At 41.8% G+C, this 19,741-nt stretch overlaps 1 long non-coding RNA gene across 3 annotated transcripts in view, besides 2 other annotated features; it reads right to left on the bottom strand.

The window, feature by feature from the left end:
* Window positions 1-19,741, bottom strand: part of LANCL1-AS1 (LANCL1 antisense RNA 1) — a 145,622-nt gene that overhangs the window by 94,656 nt on the left and 31,225 nt on the right. The gene's annotated exons all lie outside the window — the stretch shown is intronic.
* Window positions 9,449-10,648: an enhancer, noted in NCBI's record as "P300/CBP strongly-dependent group 1 enhancer chr2:211229754-211230953 (GRCh37/hg19 assembly coordinates)". NCBI's record gives its function as "activates an origin of replication core promoter dependent on BRD2, BRD4, P300/CBP, MED14 and CDK7 cofactors, with strong dependence on P300/CBP, by STARR-seq in HCT116 cells {active_cell/tissue: HCT116}" and the evidence as "EXISTENCE:reporter gene assay evidence [ECO:0000049][PMID:35650434]".
* Window positions 13,955-15,154: an enhancer, noted in NCBI's record as "BRD4-independent group 4 enhancer chr2:211225248-211226447 (GRCh37/hg19 assembly coordinates)". NCBI's record gives its function as "activates an origin of replication core promoter dependent on BRD2, P300/CBP, MED14 and CDK7 cofactors, and independent of BRD4, by STARR-seq in HCT116 cells {active_cell/tissue: HCT116}" and the evidence as "EXISTENCE:reporter gene assay evidence [ECO:0000049][PMID:35650434]".

Raw genomic sequence — 19,741 nt, 5'->3', positions numbered from 1 at the left:
ACAACACTAAAAGGCAAATAGAGCAGAAGTGTTTCAAATTATTGTTGAATATTTATATTTTAAATATACAGCCAGGCACGGTGGCTTACGCCTGTCATCCCAACACTTTGAGAAGCCGGAGGTGGGCACATCACTTGAGGCCAGAAGTTCGAGACTAGCGTGGCCAACATGGTGAAACCCAATCTCTACAAAAAATACAAAAATTAGCTGTGTGTGGTGGCGCATACCTGTAATCCCAGCTACTTGGGAAGCTGAGGCATAAGAATCACTGGAATCGAGGAGGCAGAGGTTGCAGTGAGCCAAGATTGTGTCACTGCACTTCAGCCTGGGCAACAGAGCAAGACTCTATCTCCAAAAATAAGTAAACAAATAAATAAATAAAGATTATTGAGAATATATGGGGGGAGCAGTTTAGAAATTTTAAAAGGTTAATTCTATCTTTTGTGAACCTATATTTATTTCTAAGGGGCTTTATTTTTAATACCTCAATTATTATACCTAAATCAAGCATTATAGCCAAACAGTATTTTATGCCAAAGATTACTTAATGTAACAACTCCTTTTTACAGAAGAAAGTGAGGGAGGAATACATGCAACTTTTCACAAAGTGATCACATGAATAGAGTGAATACAATGTTGGAAGCAGTGGAAGTCCATATAAAAAATTATAGAAACTCCAGTAAAATAATACTGCATAAAATGCTGTTTGCACATGCACTGAGTGTTGCTATACCTCTATCCCAATTGTCAGCACTTTATTTGGATTTTTAAATTTTTAAGTATGCTATAAAGTATCAGTATACCTACCATTTAACACAAGAACTAAAACATTACAAATACATTTAAACCCGCCTATCTACCCATCCCAGATCCTATTTACTCTCATTCCCGCTTATAAAGAAAATTTCTATCTTGAATTTTAGGTTTATCATTTTCATTTTTTGTACTTTTATTCTGTCCATTTAGACCCTAAACAATATTGTTTTGCATAGTTTAAGCTACACAAATAGAATTACATGTTATATATCCTTCTATAACTTGCTTTTTATCTTTCACAATGTGTGTGAGACTCATCTACATTGATATCTGTACTATGTTATTCATTTTTGTTCCTATAGAGTATTTAAATGCATGAATTATAACAAATTTCATAATTTGTAATAGTTTTTGTTATCCATTTGTGTTTTTACCTTGTATACTTTTGAAATTTTTCACCATAACAATGCTGCAATGCATAGTTTTTTGTGTTTGAGTATCCCTAATGTATATACTCAGGACTGGAATTAATGGGCCATAGGATAGATACAATTTCAACTCCACTAGATAGTGTCAAATTGATCTACAAAGTACTTATCCCAAAAATATATACTTCCACAAGCACTAGATGAGAGAGTTCCTAATTTTAATTTTCTGGCAGTGCTCTAGAAATTCTTTTTAGCAAAACATAGCCATAAATCACTTAAATAAGAATCATATTGAATAACATTCTTAAAATGTAAAATGTTTCTTTGTGCTTTATTGCTAAGTTGGATCTTAGAGTTTTTGAGCCTTTTAAGGAATGACAACTTAGATAGGTATTATTGGATTGTGGATATGTTGAAAATTCCAAAAGTACTTTACAAATAAGTGGAATATAAATTTAATAACAGTAATGGTATCCATAGGAATCCCCTTATAGAATAGTTTGGTGATAGATTATGACTAAGGTGAGCAGGTAGAAGATTGGATCAAAAATACCCATTCTGCATATTAGGCATTAAAGCTAATGATTGGAACAAATCACACCAAATGCAAATATATTTTTTTTAACCAGAGAAGAATAAAGGGATAAAGCTATCCATGAGTGAAAAGGAAAGAATTGTCTGATTTATGTTTGGTGAATTTCAAATCCAATAAGCATCTACCTAGACCATGAAAGGTAAAAGTTAATAGCATGTTTAATTATTTGCTATTAAAATTAATGTGCTTTTCTGAAGGCTGAAAATTGTTTATGTAAGTCCCAGCACAAAGCCAATGCTCAGTTTCATGAGGCAAAAAGACCAATCCCTTTCTTTATTCCTTCATTCTCTCATTCAAAAATATTACATTTGCAGAGAAACTTCTAAGTATTTGGTATTTATGCTAGGCACAGTGATAAGCCCAAGGAGATCTCCATGCATGCAGAAACTGATATTGACAAGTACAAATTATATTGTTTTCTTGCATGCAGATCTCTAATACATTGTCTCTGTGTTGTCAGGTGTCTCTTTATTTGAGCTTTGATGTTGCTATTAACTGACTGACTGATAGAAACAGGATGAAAAGCTCCAGAAATCAAAGGACACAACCACGTAGGGATTTGTGGAAGGCATCCACCAAAATGCCTCTTGGCATTCATACCCTTCTGTAGTTTCCTCCCACATTGACTAGGATGGACATGCGTAACAAATAATATATCCAGAAGCAAATGTGTGTTGACTCTGAAGCAAGGTCAAAAAATGACTTTGTAACTGCAGCATCCTATCTTAGACAACCTGCTCTGGAGGAAGCCAACTGCCATTTTGTGAAGACGCTTAAGCAGCCATATGAAGAGACCCATATGGCAAGGAACTGAGCCCTCCTGTCAATATCCAACCCCTACTTTCTAGTCAACTGAGTGGACCACCTTGAAAGCAGGTCCTCCAGCCCCAGTCAAGTCTGCAGATGAGTGCAGGCCTAGCTGACATCTTGATTACAATTTCATAAGAGGCTCTCAGCCAGAACAACCCATATAAGCTGGTCCTGAATTCCTGATACATAGAAACTGTGTAAGATAAAAAATGTTTATTATTGTTTTAGGCTGCTAAGATGTGAGGTAATTCACTGTGCAGCAATAGATAACTAAAACAGTACTGGAAAGTCAAAATAAGAACAACTCTCTTTCTCCCTTTCTCTAAAGCTATAATGAATGTTTCTCTTTACTTTTTCTATATAAGGAATTATAACAGCTCAGTGTGGTTTCTCGTGCTATAATTCCAGTTACTTAGGAAGCTAAGGTGGGAGGATCACTTTAGGCAAGGGGTTTGAGACCAGCCTGGGCTTCATGGCAAGACCCCATCTCTAATAAAATAAAAATTTTAAAATTAGCTGGGTGTGGTGGCATGCAATTATGGTTTCAGCTACTTGAGAGTTTGAGGCCAGAGGATTGCTTATGCCCAGGAATTTGCAGTTGCAATAAGCTATGATTACACCACAGCCCAAATGACAGAGCAAGACCCTATCTCTAAAAAATTATATTACACTTAACGATATAATAACAAATTTTGTGCAGGTATTTGATCACTTTGCCCAAATTTTAGCTAAATCACCTCATGCCTTTATGCAGGTCACTAAATTGCCTTCAAAATTCACCTATCAATGGGATAATTATAAAGTGATAACACCAAGATATTATAGTATTATACTTTTAATAAAATGTTTAAAGCCTATAAAGTTGAAAACAAATAACAGTTTAAATGTACTATATAGTTTACTACAGAAAACTTGAAACACATAAGAACAGAAGACTTCTCTGGTGACAAGATCTGAAAATGCTTTTGACTGAAAATATCTAGTATTATATCGTGTGTACATCTCAAGTTGAAATGGAGTAGAAGTTTGAGGCTGTTATGAGCTATGATTGCAGCACTGCACTTCAGTGTGAGCAACAAAGAAACACTCTGTCTCTAGAATAAAAAGAATAAAAAGAATTATAATGGTCTCCTAGAAGGGAAAGCATCTAAGTATCTATGTCACTTGCCTAAAAATAAACTTAATATAGTATCTTAGTTCATTAGTTTGTTTAATGTTCTTTATAATAGAATACCTGAAACTGAGTCATTTCTAAAGAAAAGAAAACTATTTCTTATATCATTACAGAAGCTGAGAAGTTTAAGGTCAAGGGGGCATATCTAGTGAGGGCCTTCTTGTTGGTGGGCTTTTTGCAGCAAACCAAGGAGGAGCAAGGCATCACGTGGCAACAAACCTGAGTGTGCTAATATGTTAGTCCAGCTCTCTCTTCCTTTTCTTATTAATCCACCAGTTCCCCTCCAAAGATAACCCATTAATCCATTAAACCACTTGTCCATTACTCCATGAATGAATTAATCCATTCCTGCAGGCAGAGCCCTTATGATCCAATCATCTCTTAAATATCCCAACTCTCAATACTGCCACATTGGGGATTAAGTTTCAACATGAGTTTTGGAAGAAACATTCAACCCCTAACATACAGTAAAAAGCAAATGGATCACTGATTCTTTACCTCATTCAGAAATATGCATTGGGCACTAAGAACCACCAAAATAATGAGTAGATAATTGCACTTTGAATAGATCGTTAAAAAGAGGACACTGGAATTCAACAGAAAAGTGACAAAAAAATACCTAAAGCAAGAAAGGAGAGGGAAGTGAAGCACTCTTCTCAGCCAAGATCAGCTGGGAGACGGGAATGACTCCCCAGTGTGGGGAAAGAGTAAGTAATAGACTCACAGTGGACCACATTCCAACTGTGGACTCCTGCAGTCCCAGGCATGGGAGATCCCCATCACCTATGCAAGCCCTGAAACTAATATATGGAGCTGCCTGGAGATTAGACAATAGAACTGCTCCAGGGAATGAGTTTGTACTAGGTCCCCCACTTCCCCCAACTCCTAAGCATCTACAGCAAGGTGCCATTTTAAGAGCATAGCACACAACAGGCTATGAACTATCCTGGGCCCAGCAGTACTAGAGCTAAGTCATGAACAAAGTGCAGGATGCTGCTGCTGCTGGGACTAAAATGCAGTGAAGGCGAGGGCTGCTGCCAATGGGGCTGAGGCAAGAGCAGGGCAGGTGTTCCCTAGCCACCAGCCTAGGCTGCCATCACTGAAGGTGGCCCTATCCTCCTCAGTGGCAGGAATGTAGTACGACTGCTGCCACCCCCTTCTTGAGCATTCTCCTGGAGGCCTGGGAATCTCCTCACCCCTACTTACCATAGCAAGTACCTGCACATACCACTGTGGGGCCCTAAGTCAAGCCCACCCAGCTAAGCTTGAACCCCCAAAAGCCAAAGCATGCAGTCCAGAGGCTTGGAGATTAACCAGCTCACTCCACCAACATTGGCACCTGAGCACTTCTCTCATAGCCTTGAGGTTGAACCTACCCACCCTGTCACTACCCCCACAGCTGGCACCTACCTGCACATGCCATCTATGGGCATGGAGACTGGTCTGCCCAGTCCATTTCAGCCACCATTAACAACGCACATAGCACTTGGGATCCAGAGTGGTATCATCATGTGCGCCATGCCAGCTACTGCCATCATGCATGCCATGCCAGCTAACCAGTGGACGGAGAACACACCCACCTGCCCAGACCACTGCAGTTACTATTGTCATCCAAGTAAGCCATCTGGAGGCCCAAAAGTTGGCCTACCTGGACCCACTGACACTGGTGCCAGCATACACCACCCCGGGGACCAATGAAGGGTACAATTAGCCCACTGATGTTACCACTGGTAAATTCTTGTCCTAAAATAAATTAACTGGTTGTTTAAAGAAAGGGATGTTTGGCCGGGCGCGGTGGCTCACGCCTGTAATCCCAGCACTTTGGGAGGCCGAGGCGGGCGGATCACGAGGTCAGGAGATCGAGACCATCCCGGCTAAAACGGTGAAACCCCGTCTCTACTAAAAATACAAAAAATTAGCCAGGCGTAGTGGCGGGCGCCTGTAGTCCCAGCTACTTGGGAGGCTGAGGCAGGAGAATGGCGTGAACCCGGGAGGCAGAGCTTGCAGTGAGCCGAGATCCCGCCACTGCACTCCAGCCTGGGCGACAGAGCGAGACTCCATCTCAAAAAAAAAAAAAAAAAAAAAAAAGAAAGGGATGTTTACAAGTCAGAAAGTTGAGGCAAGTCAAAGATTGTGAAAGTCGTGAAAAATGTTATAAAAGGGAATTTACGCAAGAAATGCTGTATAATTTAAAAGTAATTAGGCCTCCTGAATGTAAAACTATTGAAGAAACAGTTTATGTGCAAGGCGTGTAAGGAAAGTAAAATATACTTTTGGTAAAAGGATCATGAGGCATAAGAATATGGATTTTTACCTACATTAAAAGGTTAAATATATATATATATTTTGTTTTGAAGGTTTAAGCAAGTTTTGAAACATTAATTGTAAAGGAAATTTTGTGTGTAAGCATATTGGCTAAAGTTAAAAAGGTATCATCCAATTTTTCTGTGAACTGGACATTAAAATAGAAGCATGACAGGTTTTTTAAAAGCATGAAACTGCTCTTCAAGAAAAATTAGGCCGGGCGCGGTGACTCATGCCTGTAATCCCAGCACTTTGGGAGGCCGAGGCCGGTGGATCACAAGGTCAGGAGATCGAGACCATCCTTGCTAACATGTTGAAACCCTGTCTCTACTAAAAATACAAAAAAATTAGCCAGGCGTGGTGGCAGGCCCCTGCAGTCCCAGCTACTTGGGAGGCTGAGGCAGGAGAAGGACGTGAACCCAGGAGGCAGAGCTTGCAGTAAGCCAAGATCATGCCACTTCACTCTAGCCTAGGCGACAGAGCAAGACTCCAACTCAAAAAAAAAAGAAAAGAAAAAGAAAAATTATAAAGGATTAAACAGAGTCTATAAAAATCTTACCTTATGGTCAGACATTAAAATTAGATAAACAATGTCTATAATATTTTATTAAAATTGAGTTGAACATTAATAGCATACTAATATAAAGGTAAAATTTAGCTTCTCTGGTATAAAATCATACAGAAAGCATTGTCAAATATAAAATGCTATTTTTTTGGTCTAAAAACTAATAAAAATAGGTGCTAAAGAAAATTCAGAAGGAAAATGGATATTGCTAAACCAAAGAGAAATGTTATCCAACTGCATCAAGGGACGCACTGGGGGCCCCAAGCCATGTGTGACGCAGTCCTCAGAGTTTATGGGTGCATAGAAATTTATACCCTAGCCAAACAGGTTACAGACAGTCACTTACTAAAAGATTACCCCTTGGGGGAAGGAGTCCAGGCTTAAGGCCATTTCAAAGTATCCAGACTGATTACACACAGATGCCTCCAACTGGTCATCTAAAGTATTTATTAGTAATAGTAGATCACCTTACTCACTGGGTAGAAGCTATTTCCTTTTCAAGTACAACTGCTAATAATGTAGTCAAGGCATTAGTTGAAAATATTATACCCAAGTTTAGATTAATAGAAAACATTGATTCAGATAATAGGACTCATTTCACTACACATGTCATTAAGAAATTAGCCCAGATACTGGATATAACATGGGGATATCATACTCCCTGGCACCCACCTTCATCAGGGAAAGTAGGAAGGCCTATTACACAGTTGAAAGTCTGAACTGCTCCCTGAAAAGACATACAATTATCCCTTTATGGGATGCTTTATGGATTGCCTTATCTACATTCTACTATTGATCTCCCTACATTTGAAACAAAAAATCAGTTTCTCCGAAATTATATACTTGGTTTATCTTCCACTTTCCCCTCCCTCAGAACTAAAGGTCTTTTAGCACAGGTGCCAATCCTAGAGTTTCCAGCACACCAACATCAGCCTGGGGACCACATCCTTGTCAAAAGTTGGAGAGAAGGAAAAACTCGAACTGGCCTGGGAAGGACCTTACCTAGTGCTCCTAACTAATGAAACCTCAGTCCAGACATCAGAAAAAGGATGGACCCATCACACCTCAGTCAAGAAAGTGCCACCCCCTCCAGAGTCATGGGCCATAGTCCCAGGCGAAAACCCTACCAAACTAAAGCTAAGAAAAATTTAACTCTCTTTCATCTATTCTATTACTCCTTCTTTCCTCGCTGTATTGCTGACCACCTAGTTATTAATGTAACCAAGTCAACTTTGCCTCAAACTATCATATTTGATGCTTGTCTTGTTATACCCTGTGGAGACTTGCCAAGTCAGAGGCCACTCTCTACTTCAGAAAAGTATCTTTATCCTTCCTAGTTCTCCTCAGACTAAAAATCTGTTAACTAGGATAAATTGGTTTGAGAAGAGTTTGATGAAGATTTCAGTATAAACTGGAAATCTTGTCCTCTTAGAGCAGAGCTTCTCTGCCAAAGTTGGCCCAATGATCTATAAAATACTAAAGAGCAAGGATGGACTGCCCCAACTAGTACTTGCAGTTTCTTAAAACCATATATTCATTTTACTAAAGGAGTTACCCTCCCCATTGTCAGCTAAACCAATGGAATCCAGTACAGATGACCATCACTGCTCCCCAGAGTTCTTCCCCATCATTATGCCATTTCTATGGTATAAGAGCAGAAGTATCAGGGAAGGAGTCTCATAGGATCCTTTGAAATGTCTTCATTGCCTCCTCACCTCATGCACACCCTTTTCCCTCGTCTAAGTCCTCCGCTAACCAAACCTGCTCTCGTTATCTACCCAAAGATAAAAACCAAAGTAGTTGTTGTAGAGGTTAAAGATTTAAAACAAACTATAGCAATTGAAACAGGGTATCAGGATGCAAATGCTTGGCTGGAATGGATTAAATATTCTGTTTGCATGCAAAACAAAAGCGACTGTTACACTTGTGCAACAGGCAGGCCGGAGACCTGGAGTGTCCCCTTTCCACTTGGGTGGTCCTCTCATGGACCAGGCATGAGCTGTATGGTAGCTCTTTCCAGAACCCCACAGCCTAGGGTGATGAGTCACGTAAGACTCTTTCACTGTTGTTCCCTGAGGTTAAGAGCCCTGTGGGTGAGTCCCTGAGGGCCATCTGGCCTCCAGCCCCTGATATTAACTTCACCTCATGCCTTTCATGGCAGGGGGAAAAGTTAGCATTCCCTGAAGACTTAACAGGGTGCAGTGAAACCAAGCCTTTTCAAGAGCTTACTCATCAGTCTGCCCTTGTTCATCCCCAAGCAGATGTGTGGTGGTATTGCAGGCTACTATTGCTGGGTATTCTGCCAAGTAATTAGAGCAGCACTCGTGCTCTAGTCCAATTGGCCATCCCTTTCACCCTAGCATTCTGTCAACACGATAAAAAAAGAAAATAGTAAAAGAAGTGCCTCACATGGGTCCTTTGACCTCCATGTTTATATAAATGCTATTGGAGTTCCATGAGGAGTACCAAATGAATTTAAAGCCCGAGATCAAATAGCTGCAGGATTTAAGTCAATAATTTCATGGGTGACAATTAATAAAAATGTAGATTGGATAAATTATATCTATTATGATCAGAGCAGTTTATTAATTACACCAGGGATGCTGTCAAAGGGATAGCAGAACATTTGGGGCCACTAGCCAGATAGCCTGGGAAAACAGAATGGCCCTAGATATAATATTAGCTGCAAAAGGCAGTGTTTGTGTTATGATTAAAACCCAGTGTTGTACCTTCATCCCAAACAACACTGCCCCCACTAGGAGCATAACAAGGGCCTTACAAAGACTTACCGCTTTATCCAATGAATTAGCTACAATTCTGGAGTTGGTAACCCTTTCTCAGGGTGGCTAGAAAGGTGGTTCAGTAAATGGAAAGAAATCATAGCCTTTGTATTTTTAGCTGTAATAAGTGTACTCATTCTTGTTAGGTGTTGTGTCATACCATGCATCCGTGGCCTAGTGTAAAGACTGATAAAAGCAGCACTTACTAAAACCTTCCTTAATTCTCCTCCACTTTATTCGGAGAAGCTTTTCCTTTTAGATTATCAAGCAGAACAACTAAGCCAAGACATGTTAAGGAAGTTTGAAGAGAAGAAATGTAAATATTCAAGATGGGGGATTGTTAGATATAGTGAACTCCAAGTTTCTCTTCAAAGAATCAATATGTCAGTATGTTCAGCTACCTTATTCTTTGATTCTCCATTTTAAAGTTTAACTTCCTGGTTCTCTTCGCCCCCTTGCCTCTAGTTTCAGTAAACAACTTTCCCGCCAATTCTAATCAGTAGTTCACATCTGTTCTCCTGGTCACCTGCTTTGACCTGAGTCACCTCTGGCTACCTGCTCCATCTTGAGTCACCCCTGGTCACCTGCTCCGTCCTGAGTCACCCCTGGTCACCTGCTCTTACCTGAATCATCCTGGGTCACCTGTTCTGTAACCACCCTTCCTGCCAAACTACTCTGGCTTATACCCCTGCTCTCTTTAAAATAGCCAATCAAAATTAACTTAGACTGTGTGGTCCAACCCTATCCAATAGGGGAATGACACAGCAGTAGGGGCTACCTGTATCAGGAATGAGAACCCCTTCCCCTCCCTTGTCCAGGCGTGCTCTCATCATTACTCCATCCATGAGTTGCACCCTTCTATAGAAGTAAAAATTGTCTTTCTGAGAAAATTAAATTTATGTTTGACTGCTATTTCTTTACAGCACCGAGGAACAAGAGGAACAAGCATTCGTTTCTAACACAGGAAGGGGGCTTTCAGGTCAAGGTAGGTGAGAGACAAATGATTACATTCTTTTGAGTTTCTGATAAGCCTTTCCAAAGGAGGCAATCAGAATATGCATCTATCTCAGTGAGAAGGATGACTTTGAATAGAATGGGAGGCAGATTTGCCCTGAGCAGTTCCCAGCTTGAATTTTCCCCTTAGCTCAGTGATTTGAGGGACCCAAGATATTTTTCTTTCACACCATCAAAATTATCCTTCATGAACGAAGTAGAAATATAGTATTTCCCAAATGAGTAAAAGCTGAGGGAATCCATCACCACTTGACTGGACCCTACAAGAAATGCTTAGGGTTTTATTTCTTTTTTCCAAGATGGTCTATTAGAGGCTTTCAGCATGCCTCAGCCACTTGGAAATAGCAAGACAGTACATAAAGATCAACGCTGTGAGATTTAATTCAAGAAGGAAAATGGGAACCACTGGAATCATGAAGGACACCCAGATCCCAGAGAGAATGGTAGCAAATTGTCCCCATTATGGCATCCAGATGATAAAAGCGAGTGAAGCCCCAGTACATTAGAGGGGCAGCCAGCCTCCCTCTGTGATTCACCTTTCCACTGGAGTTCCCAGTAACCCAGGCTGAGGAAGAGCACATGGTTTCTCCCAAGCCCTGGAGCTAATCTGGGGAGAGGCTTGGAGACACTGTGAGGGAAAGACACCGGGAAAAGCTGTAGACATTTTCTTAGACCTGGGACCAGGAGCAGGATGCCATTTTTAATCTAGGTGCATAAAAAGTCAGCCATTCTTTGATAATCCAGAAGTGTGGTTCTGTGGGCATTTTCATCCTGGGCCAGAGATTAGAGCTTGCTCTGAAGTGGAGTAGGGGCCTCTATAGCCAGAACTGTAGAAAGCACCTCAGCAGTAGGTTCTGAATATGTGCTTTCTCCCATTGCAAGCCTGGGACAAGAGGAGAGCTGCTACAGCTGCAGTTTCTCCTGGGCAGTGAGACAGCTAGGGCCAGCTTGGTGAACTAGAACTAATCTGTGTGTGTCACTGCTGGGTACCCTAGCCTGGTCCCCTGAAGTCATGGTACAGCAGGGCTCTCTCCACTCCATGCCCAGGCAGATCTCCAGTCATTTGGAGCACTCATTCATTTGCTTCAGCAGCCTGAGCTATCCCATTCTTCCTGAGCATAGATCATAGTGCAACAAGGCCCTCATTGTTCCACACCCAGGCAGATCTCCAGGCATCTACAGCACCAGCTCACCTAGATTGGCAGGCTGAACTATCCTATCCTTCCTGAACAGAGATCCTGGTGCATAGAGGCCCTTTGTGTTTCACACCCAAGCAGATCTCCAGGCATTTGGAACACCAGCTTACCTACATAGATCAGTAGCCTGAGCTGCCCCATGCTTCCTGGGCTGAGGTCTTGCTGCAGGGAGGGCCTGTCTGCTACACATCCAGATAAATAACAAGGCCTTCAAAGCATCTGCTTGCCTAGTTCAGCAGCTTGAGTCACCCCGTTCCTGCTATGCAGAGATCATGGTGCAGAAGGCAGCCCAGGCAGATCTCCAGGCATCTGGAGTGCCCAATGTCCTGGATTAGTTTAGGCCATCCCTGATTCCATGCAGAAAACGTGGGGCTGAAGAGGTTTCCTAGCTCCACACCTAGGCACACCTATGGGCACTTGGTAGTTGCCAATTGGATTCTTCTTTGGCACTGGTCCAGCTCCACCTTTCATGGCCCCTGACCCCCCAGGGCAGAACAGAAAGCTCAGAACAATGGCATATCATGAATCAGCCCATTGCCTGAGGCAACAGACAGCTTCAGCCAGTAAATAAAGCATCAAGTATATACCTACCATGTTGGCTGCAGCCAGCTCTTACCTATAAACACCATCTACTGGTTTGTAGATTGAACTGCACAGCCCAATGTAAAATCTGCCAGGAGAAGTGCATGGGGTTATAGAAGCAAAGCAAAAGGACCTTACCCATAATTCTCTACAGTCACACTCTCAAGAGAGGAGCAAAAAGGGCAGGGAAAAGAAAACAACAAGAATAATACTATAGGGAAAGAAGGAAAAAGAAAATTCCTACCCACACGAAAATAATTACAAAAATTAGAAGTGCCAGTCTCCAGATGAGAACAAACCAGCGCAAGAATTCTGGCACCATGAAAAATCTGAATGTAGTGACACCTCCCAAAGGATCACACTAGCAACCCAGCAATGGTCCATAAACAAAAATGGAAACCTAGAAATGACAAAGAATTCAAAAGTATGAATGTCAAGGAAGCTCAATGAGATGTAAGACAACATTGAAAATCAACATGAAGAAACTTCTAAAGCAATCCAGGAAATGAAAGAGGGGATGGCCAGGCACGGTGGCTCACGCCTGTAATCCCAACACTTTGAAAGGCAGAGGTGGGCAGATCACAAGATCAAGAGATCAAGACCATCCTGCCCAACATGATGAAACCCTGTCTCTACTAAAAATACAAAAATTAGCTGGGTGTGGTGGCACACGCCTATAGTCCCAGCTACTCGGGAGATTGAGGCAGGAGAATCTCTTGAACCCGGGAGGCGGAGGTTGCAGTGAGCCGAGATCGCGCCACTGCACTCCAGTCTGGCAACAGAGCAAGGCTCTCTCTCAAAAAAAAAAAAAAAGAAAGAAAGAAAGAAATGAAGCAGGAGATAATAAGATCTTGAAAAGAAATCAATCAGAACTTCTTTTTTTTAATGAAAATATCCATAATTTATTGGGAACCTAATGAAGCTCAATGTTATCTCACTTGATTATTTATTTATTTATTTGTTTAAGTAGCATTAGACAAATCATTGATGCAGAAAATTAACAAAGAAATTTTGAAATTAAACTTGACACTTGACCAATGGGAACCAGTAGATATCTATCTACACAATACTACACCCATTAACCATAGAACACCCATTATTCTCACTTGAAAACAGAACATAATCCAAGATTGACCACATGGTTAGCCACAAAGTAAGTCTAAATAAATTCAAAAAAATCGAAATCATACACAGCATACTCTCAAACCATAATGGAATAAAAATAGAAATCAATTCCAAGATCTCCAAACCCACACAATTATATGGAAGTTTAATAACTTACTCCTGAATGATTTTTGGGTAAAAAAATAAAATCAAGGCATAAATAAAAAACTTCTTTGAAATAAATGAAAACAGAGATATAACGTTTCAAAATCTCTGGGATTCAGCAAAAGCAGTGTTCAGAGGGAAGTGTAAAACACTAAACAATTATCACAAAAAGTTAAAAAGATCTACAGTTAATGATCTAACATTATACATAAATGAACTAGAAAAACAAGAACAATCTAAACCCAAAGCTAGCAGAGTAAAAGAAAAAAACTAAGATCAGAGATAAATTGAATGAAATTGAGACCCACAAATCCATACAAAGGATCAAGGCCAATAGTTGGTTCTCTGAAAGGATAAAAAAGATCAATAGGCCACTAGCTAGATTAACAAAAAAGAGAGAGAGAGAGGATCCATATAAGCACAATCAGAAAGGTGGCATTACAACTAACCCCAGAGAAACACAGAAGATCCTCAGATACTATTATAAACACTTCTATGCACACAAATTGGAAAACCTAGAGGAAATGAATAAATTCCTAGAAACAGCCTCTCAAGATTGAATCAGGATGAACAGAGCAGCATGCGGAGGCTCGCATCGTGAATTTTAGCCCAGAAATAAATTAGGAAACCTGAGACGACGCACAGACCCTCTGAAGAAAGCAGACTGCTCCTACAGGACCCGGGAGATACCTCAAATACTGTGAGTGCCCAAAGTGCGGAAGTGGGAAAGGGAGACTCTTGCCCCCAAACACACACCCCCACTGGGGAACCTGATCTAGTTTGCGGGAGAAGATTCCAGCCTTACCTGGAGCTGAGTCAATTTAGAGAGCTGAGCAAAATACAGGGGTAGAGGAAGCAGCAGGAAATGACCTGGGAGCTTGCTGGGTCCCCACATAGGCCATTCCTGCCTGGTAACACAGGGATCTTTCAGGAGGGCAGCCAGAGGCATGAGGAAAATGGCACAGGGAGAAAGAAATCTCCTGCTGAACTTTGTAACATTTTGAACCAGTCAAGAAGCCTCCTGACCAGAACTTTCGGAAGGGTGCGAATCCAGGGAGCAGACTCCACAGGTCGGGGAAGAACTAAAGCCCTTTTCTTTCACAGCTGGAAGGTGGGTGGCCTGCAGAAAGTTCTCGGCCCTGCTTGCCCACTGCCTGGAAACAGACTGGGTGCTGTTAGGGGGTCACAATGGGAGTGAGACTGGCCCTTTGGATTGTGTGGGAGCTGGGTGAGGCCTGTGACCATCGGCTTTCCCCCACCTTCCCTGACAACCTGCATGACTCAGCAGAAGCAACCATAATCCTCCTAGGTACATAACTCCATTGAGCTTGGAACCTCACCTCCATCCCCCACAGCAGCCACACTAAGACCCCGCCCAAGGAGAGTCCGAGCTCAGACACACCTAGCCCTGCTCCCACCTGATGGTCCTTCCCTATCCACCCTGGTATCTGAACACAAAGGCATATACTCTTGAGAGTTCTAGAGCCCCACCCATCACCAGTTTCTCACCATACTACCACAGCTGATGCTCTCTAGAAAGTGCAACCTCCCAGAAAGCTAACCAGCACAAAAGCTAAGAACCCTCACAGAGTCCATTTCACCCCCCTGCCAACTCCACCAAAACAAGTGCTGGTAACCACAGCTGAGAGAACCACAGATGGTTCCCATCACAGGACTCTGTGCAGGCAACCCTCAGTACCAGCCTGGAGCTGGGTAGACTTGCTGGGTGGCTAGATCCAGAAGAGATAACAATCACTGCAGCTCGGCTCACAGAAAGCCACATCCATAGGAAAAGGGGGAAAGTACTACATCAAGGGGACACCCCGTGAGACAAAAGAATGTGAACAACAGCCTTCAGTCCTAGACCTTCCCTCTGACAGAGGCTACACAAATGAGAAGGAACCAGAAAACCAACTCTGGTACAAAGTTGGTTTGTACCAAAAACAAAACAAGGCTCTTTAACACCTCCCAAAAAATCACACTAGTTCACCAGCAATGGATCCTAACCAAGAAGAAATCCCTGATTTACCTGAAAAGGAATTTAGAAGGTTAGTTGTTAAGCTAATCAGGGAGGCATCAAGAAAGGCAAAACCCAATGCAAGGAAATAAAAAAGAAAAAAAAAACAATACAAGAAGTGAAGGGAGAAATATTGAAGGAAATAGATAACTTAAAGAAAAAACAATCAAAACTTCCGGAAACACTGGACCCACTTATAGAAATGCAAAATGCTCTGGAAAGTCTCAGGAATAGAATTAAACAAGTAGAAGAAAAAAATTCAGAGCTCAAAGACAAGGTCTTCAAATTAACCCAATCCAACAAAGAAAAAGAAAAAAAGAATAAGAAAATATGAACAAAGCCTCCAAGAAATCTGGGATTATGTTAAATGACCAAGCCTAAGAATAATCCGCGTTCCTGAGGAAGAAGAAAAATCTAAAAGTTTCGAAAACATATTTGGAAGAATAATTGAGGAAAACTTCCCTGGCCTTGCTAGATACCTAGGCATCCAAATACAAAAAGCACAAAGAACATCTGGGAAATTCATTGCAAAAAGATCATCACCTACGCACATTTTCATCAGGTTATCTAAAGATGAAGGGAAGAATCTTAAGAGCTATGAGACAAAAGCACCAGGTAACCTATAAAGGAAAACCTATCAGATTAACAGCAGATTTCTCAGCAGAAACCCTACAAGCTAGAAAAAATTGGGGACCTATCTTCAGCCTCCTCAAACAAAACAATTATCGGCCAAGAATTTAGTATCCAGTGAAACTAAGCATTATATTTGAAGTAAAGATACAGTCTTTGTCAGTCAAACAAATGCTGAGAGAATTTGCCACTACCAAGCTACAACTACAAGAACTGCTGAAAGGGGCTCCAAATCTTGAAACAAATCCTGAAAACACATGAAAACAGAACCTCTTTAAAGCATAAATCTCACAGGACCTATAAAACAAAAGTACAATTTAAAAAGCAAGACTGGGTGTGGTGGTTCATGCCTATAATCCTAACACTTTGAGAGGCTGAGACTGGTGGATCACTTGAGGTCAGGGGTTCAAGACCAGCCTGGCCAACATGGTGAAATCCCATCTCTACTAAAAATACAAAAAAATTAGCCAGGTGTGGTGACACATGCCTGTAATCCCAGCTACTTGGGAGGCTGAGGCAGGAGAATGGCTTGAACCCAGGAGGCAGAGGTTGCAGTGAGCTGAGATTGCACCACTGCACTCCAGCCTGGGTGATAGAGCAAGACTCCATCTCAAAAAATAAAAACATAAAAAAAGCACAAACAAAAAACAAAAAATCAAAGTACACAGGCAACAAATAACACAATGAATGGAATGATACCTCACATCTCAATACTAACATTGAATGTAAATGGCCTAAATGCTCCACTTAAAAGATACAAAACTGCAGAATGGATAAGAATTCACCAAAAAACAATCTGCTGCCTTCAAGAGACTTAACCTAACACATAAGGACTCATATATAAACTTAAAGTAAAGGGGTGGAAAAAGGCATTTCATGCAAATGGACACCAAAAGTGAAGAGGATTAAATAGTCTTGTATCAACAAAAATAACTTTAAAGCAACAGCAATTAAAAAAGACAAAAAAGGAAATTATGTAATGGGAAAATGCCTTGTCCAACAGGAAAATATCACAATCCTAAACATATATGCCCCTAACACTGGAGCTCTCAAATTTATAAAGCAATTACTAAGAGACCTAAGAAACGAGATCGACAGCAACACAGTAATAGTGGGGACTTTAATACTCCACTGACAGCACTAGACAGGTCATCGAGACAGAAAGTCAACAAAGAAACAATGGACTTAAACTATACCTTGGGACAATTGGACTTAACAGGTATATGCAGAACATTCCATCCAACAACCACAGAAAACACATTCTATTCAACAGCACATAGAACTTTCTCCAAGATAGACCATATGCTAGGCCATAAAACAAGTCTCAATAAATTTAAGAAAATTGAAATTATATCAATTTCAAGCACTCTCTCAAATCACAGTGGAATAAAACTGGAAATCAGGAGATCTGACAAGATGATTGAATAGGAACAGCTCCAGTCTGTAGCTCCTAGCGAGACCAATGCAGAAGGTGGGTGATTTCTGCATTTCCAACTGAGGTACACAGTTCATCTCATTGGGACTGGTTAGGCAGTGGGTGCAGCACACAGAGGGCAAACAGAAGCAGGGTGGGGTGTCACCTCACCCAGGAAGGGCAAGGAGCTAGGGACCACCCTCCTCCAGCCAAGGGAAGCCATGAGGGACTGTGCTATCTGGCCCAGACGTTACGCTTTTCCCATGGTTTATGCAATCTGCAGACAAGGAGATTCCCTCTTGTGCCTACACCACCAGGGCCCTGGGTTTCAAGTACAAAACTGGGCAACTGTTTGGGCAGACACCAAGCTAGCTGCAGGAGTTTGTTTGTTTGTTTGTTTGTACCCCAGTGGCACCTGGAATTCCAACAATACAGAACCATTCACTCCCATGGAAAGGGGGCTGAAGCCAGGAAGCCAAGTGGTCTTGCTCAGCAGGTCCTACTCCCCCAGAACCCAGCAAGCTAAGAACCACTGGGTTGAAATTCTCACTGCCAGCACAGCAGTCTGAAGTTGACCTGGGATGATTGAGATTGGTTGGGGGGAAGGGCATTTGCCATAACTGAGGGTTGAGTAGGGAGTTTTCCCCAGACAGTGCTAAGGAGGCTGGGAAGTTTGGACTGGGTAGAACTCACCACAGCGTGGCAAAGTGGCTGTGGCCAGACTGTCTAGATTCCTCCTCACTGGTCCGGGCATCTCTGAAAGAAAGGCAGCAGCCCCAGTCAGGGACTTATAGATAAAACTCTCATCTCTGGAACAGAGCACCTGGGGGAAGGGGCAGCTATGGGAACAGGTTCATCAGACTTAAAGGTTTCTGCCTGCCAGCTCTAAAGAGAGCAGCAGATCCTGACAAAAAGCACCTCACAGTGCTCAACCTCTGCTAAGGGACAGACTGCTTCCTCAAGTGGATCCCTGACCCCTGTGCCTCTTGACGGGGAGAGACCTCCCAGCAGGGGTCGACAGACACCTCATACAGGAAAGCTCTGGCTGACATCAGGCCAGTGACCCTCTGGGAAGAAGCTTCCAGAGGAAGGAGCAGGGAGCAATCTTTGCTGTTCTGCAGCCTCCGCTTGTGATACCCAGGCAAATAGGGTCTGGAGTGGATCTCCAGCAAACTGCAGCAGAACTGCAGAAAAGGGGCTTGATTGTTGCAAGAAAAACTAAAAAGAATAAAGCAACAACATCAACATCAACAAAAAGGACGCCCACACAAAAACCACATCCGAAGGTCATCAGCCTCAAAGATCAAAGGTAAATACATCCACAAAGATGAAGAAAAATTGTGCAAAAATGCTGAAAATTCCAAAATTCAGAATGATGCTTTTTTTTTTATTATACTTTAAGTTTTAGGGTACATGTGCACAACAGGCAGGTTAGTTACATATGTATACATGCGCCTTATTGGTGCACTGCACCCATTAACTCGTCATTTAACCTTAGGTATATCTCCCAATTCTATCCTTCCCCCCTCCCCGCACCCCACAACAGGCCCCAGTGTGTGATGTTCCCCTTCCTGTGTCCATGTGTTCTCATTGTTCAATTCCCACCTATGAGTGAGAACATGCGGTGTTTGGTTTTTTGTCCTTGCGACAGTTTGATGAGAATGATGGTTTCCAGATTCATCAATGTCCCTACAAAGGACATGAACTCATTCTTTTTTATGGCTGCATAGTATTCCATGGTGTATATGTGCCACATTTTCTTAATCCAGTCTATCATTATTGGACATTTGGGTTGGTTCCAAGTCTTTGCTATTGTGAATAGTGCCACAATAAACATACGTGTGCGTGTGTCTTTATAGCAGCATGATTTATAATCCTTTGGGTATATACCCAGTAATGGGATGGCTGGGTCAAATGGTATTTCTAGTTCCAGATCCCTGAGGAATTGCCACACTGACTTCCACAATGGTTGAACTAGTTTACAGTCCCACCAACAGTGTAAAAGTGTTCCTATCTCTCCACATCCTCTCCAGCACCTGTTGTTTCCTGACTTTTTAATGATCGCCATTCTAACTGGTGTGAGATGGTATCTCATTGTGGTTTTGATTTGCATTTCTCTGATGGCAAGTGATGAGCATTTTTTCATGTGTCTTTTGGCTGCATAAATGTCTTCTTTTGAGAAGTGTCTGTTCATATCCTTTGCCCAT

Source organism: Homo sapiens, chromosome 2 (genome assembly GCF_000001405.40).
Source record: "Homo sapiens chromosome 2, GRCh38.p14 Primary Assembly".
NCBI classification, from domain to species: domain Eukaryota; kingdom Metazoa; phylum Chordata; class Mammalia; order Primates; family Hominidae; genus Homo; species Homo sapiens.
Note: the sequence above shows the minus strand (reverse complement) of the source record. Positions and strands in the feature narration are given on the sequence as shown.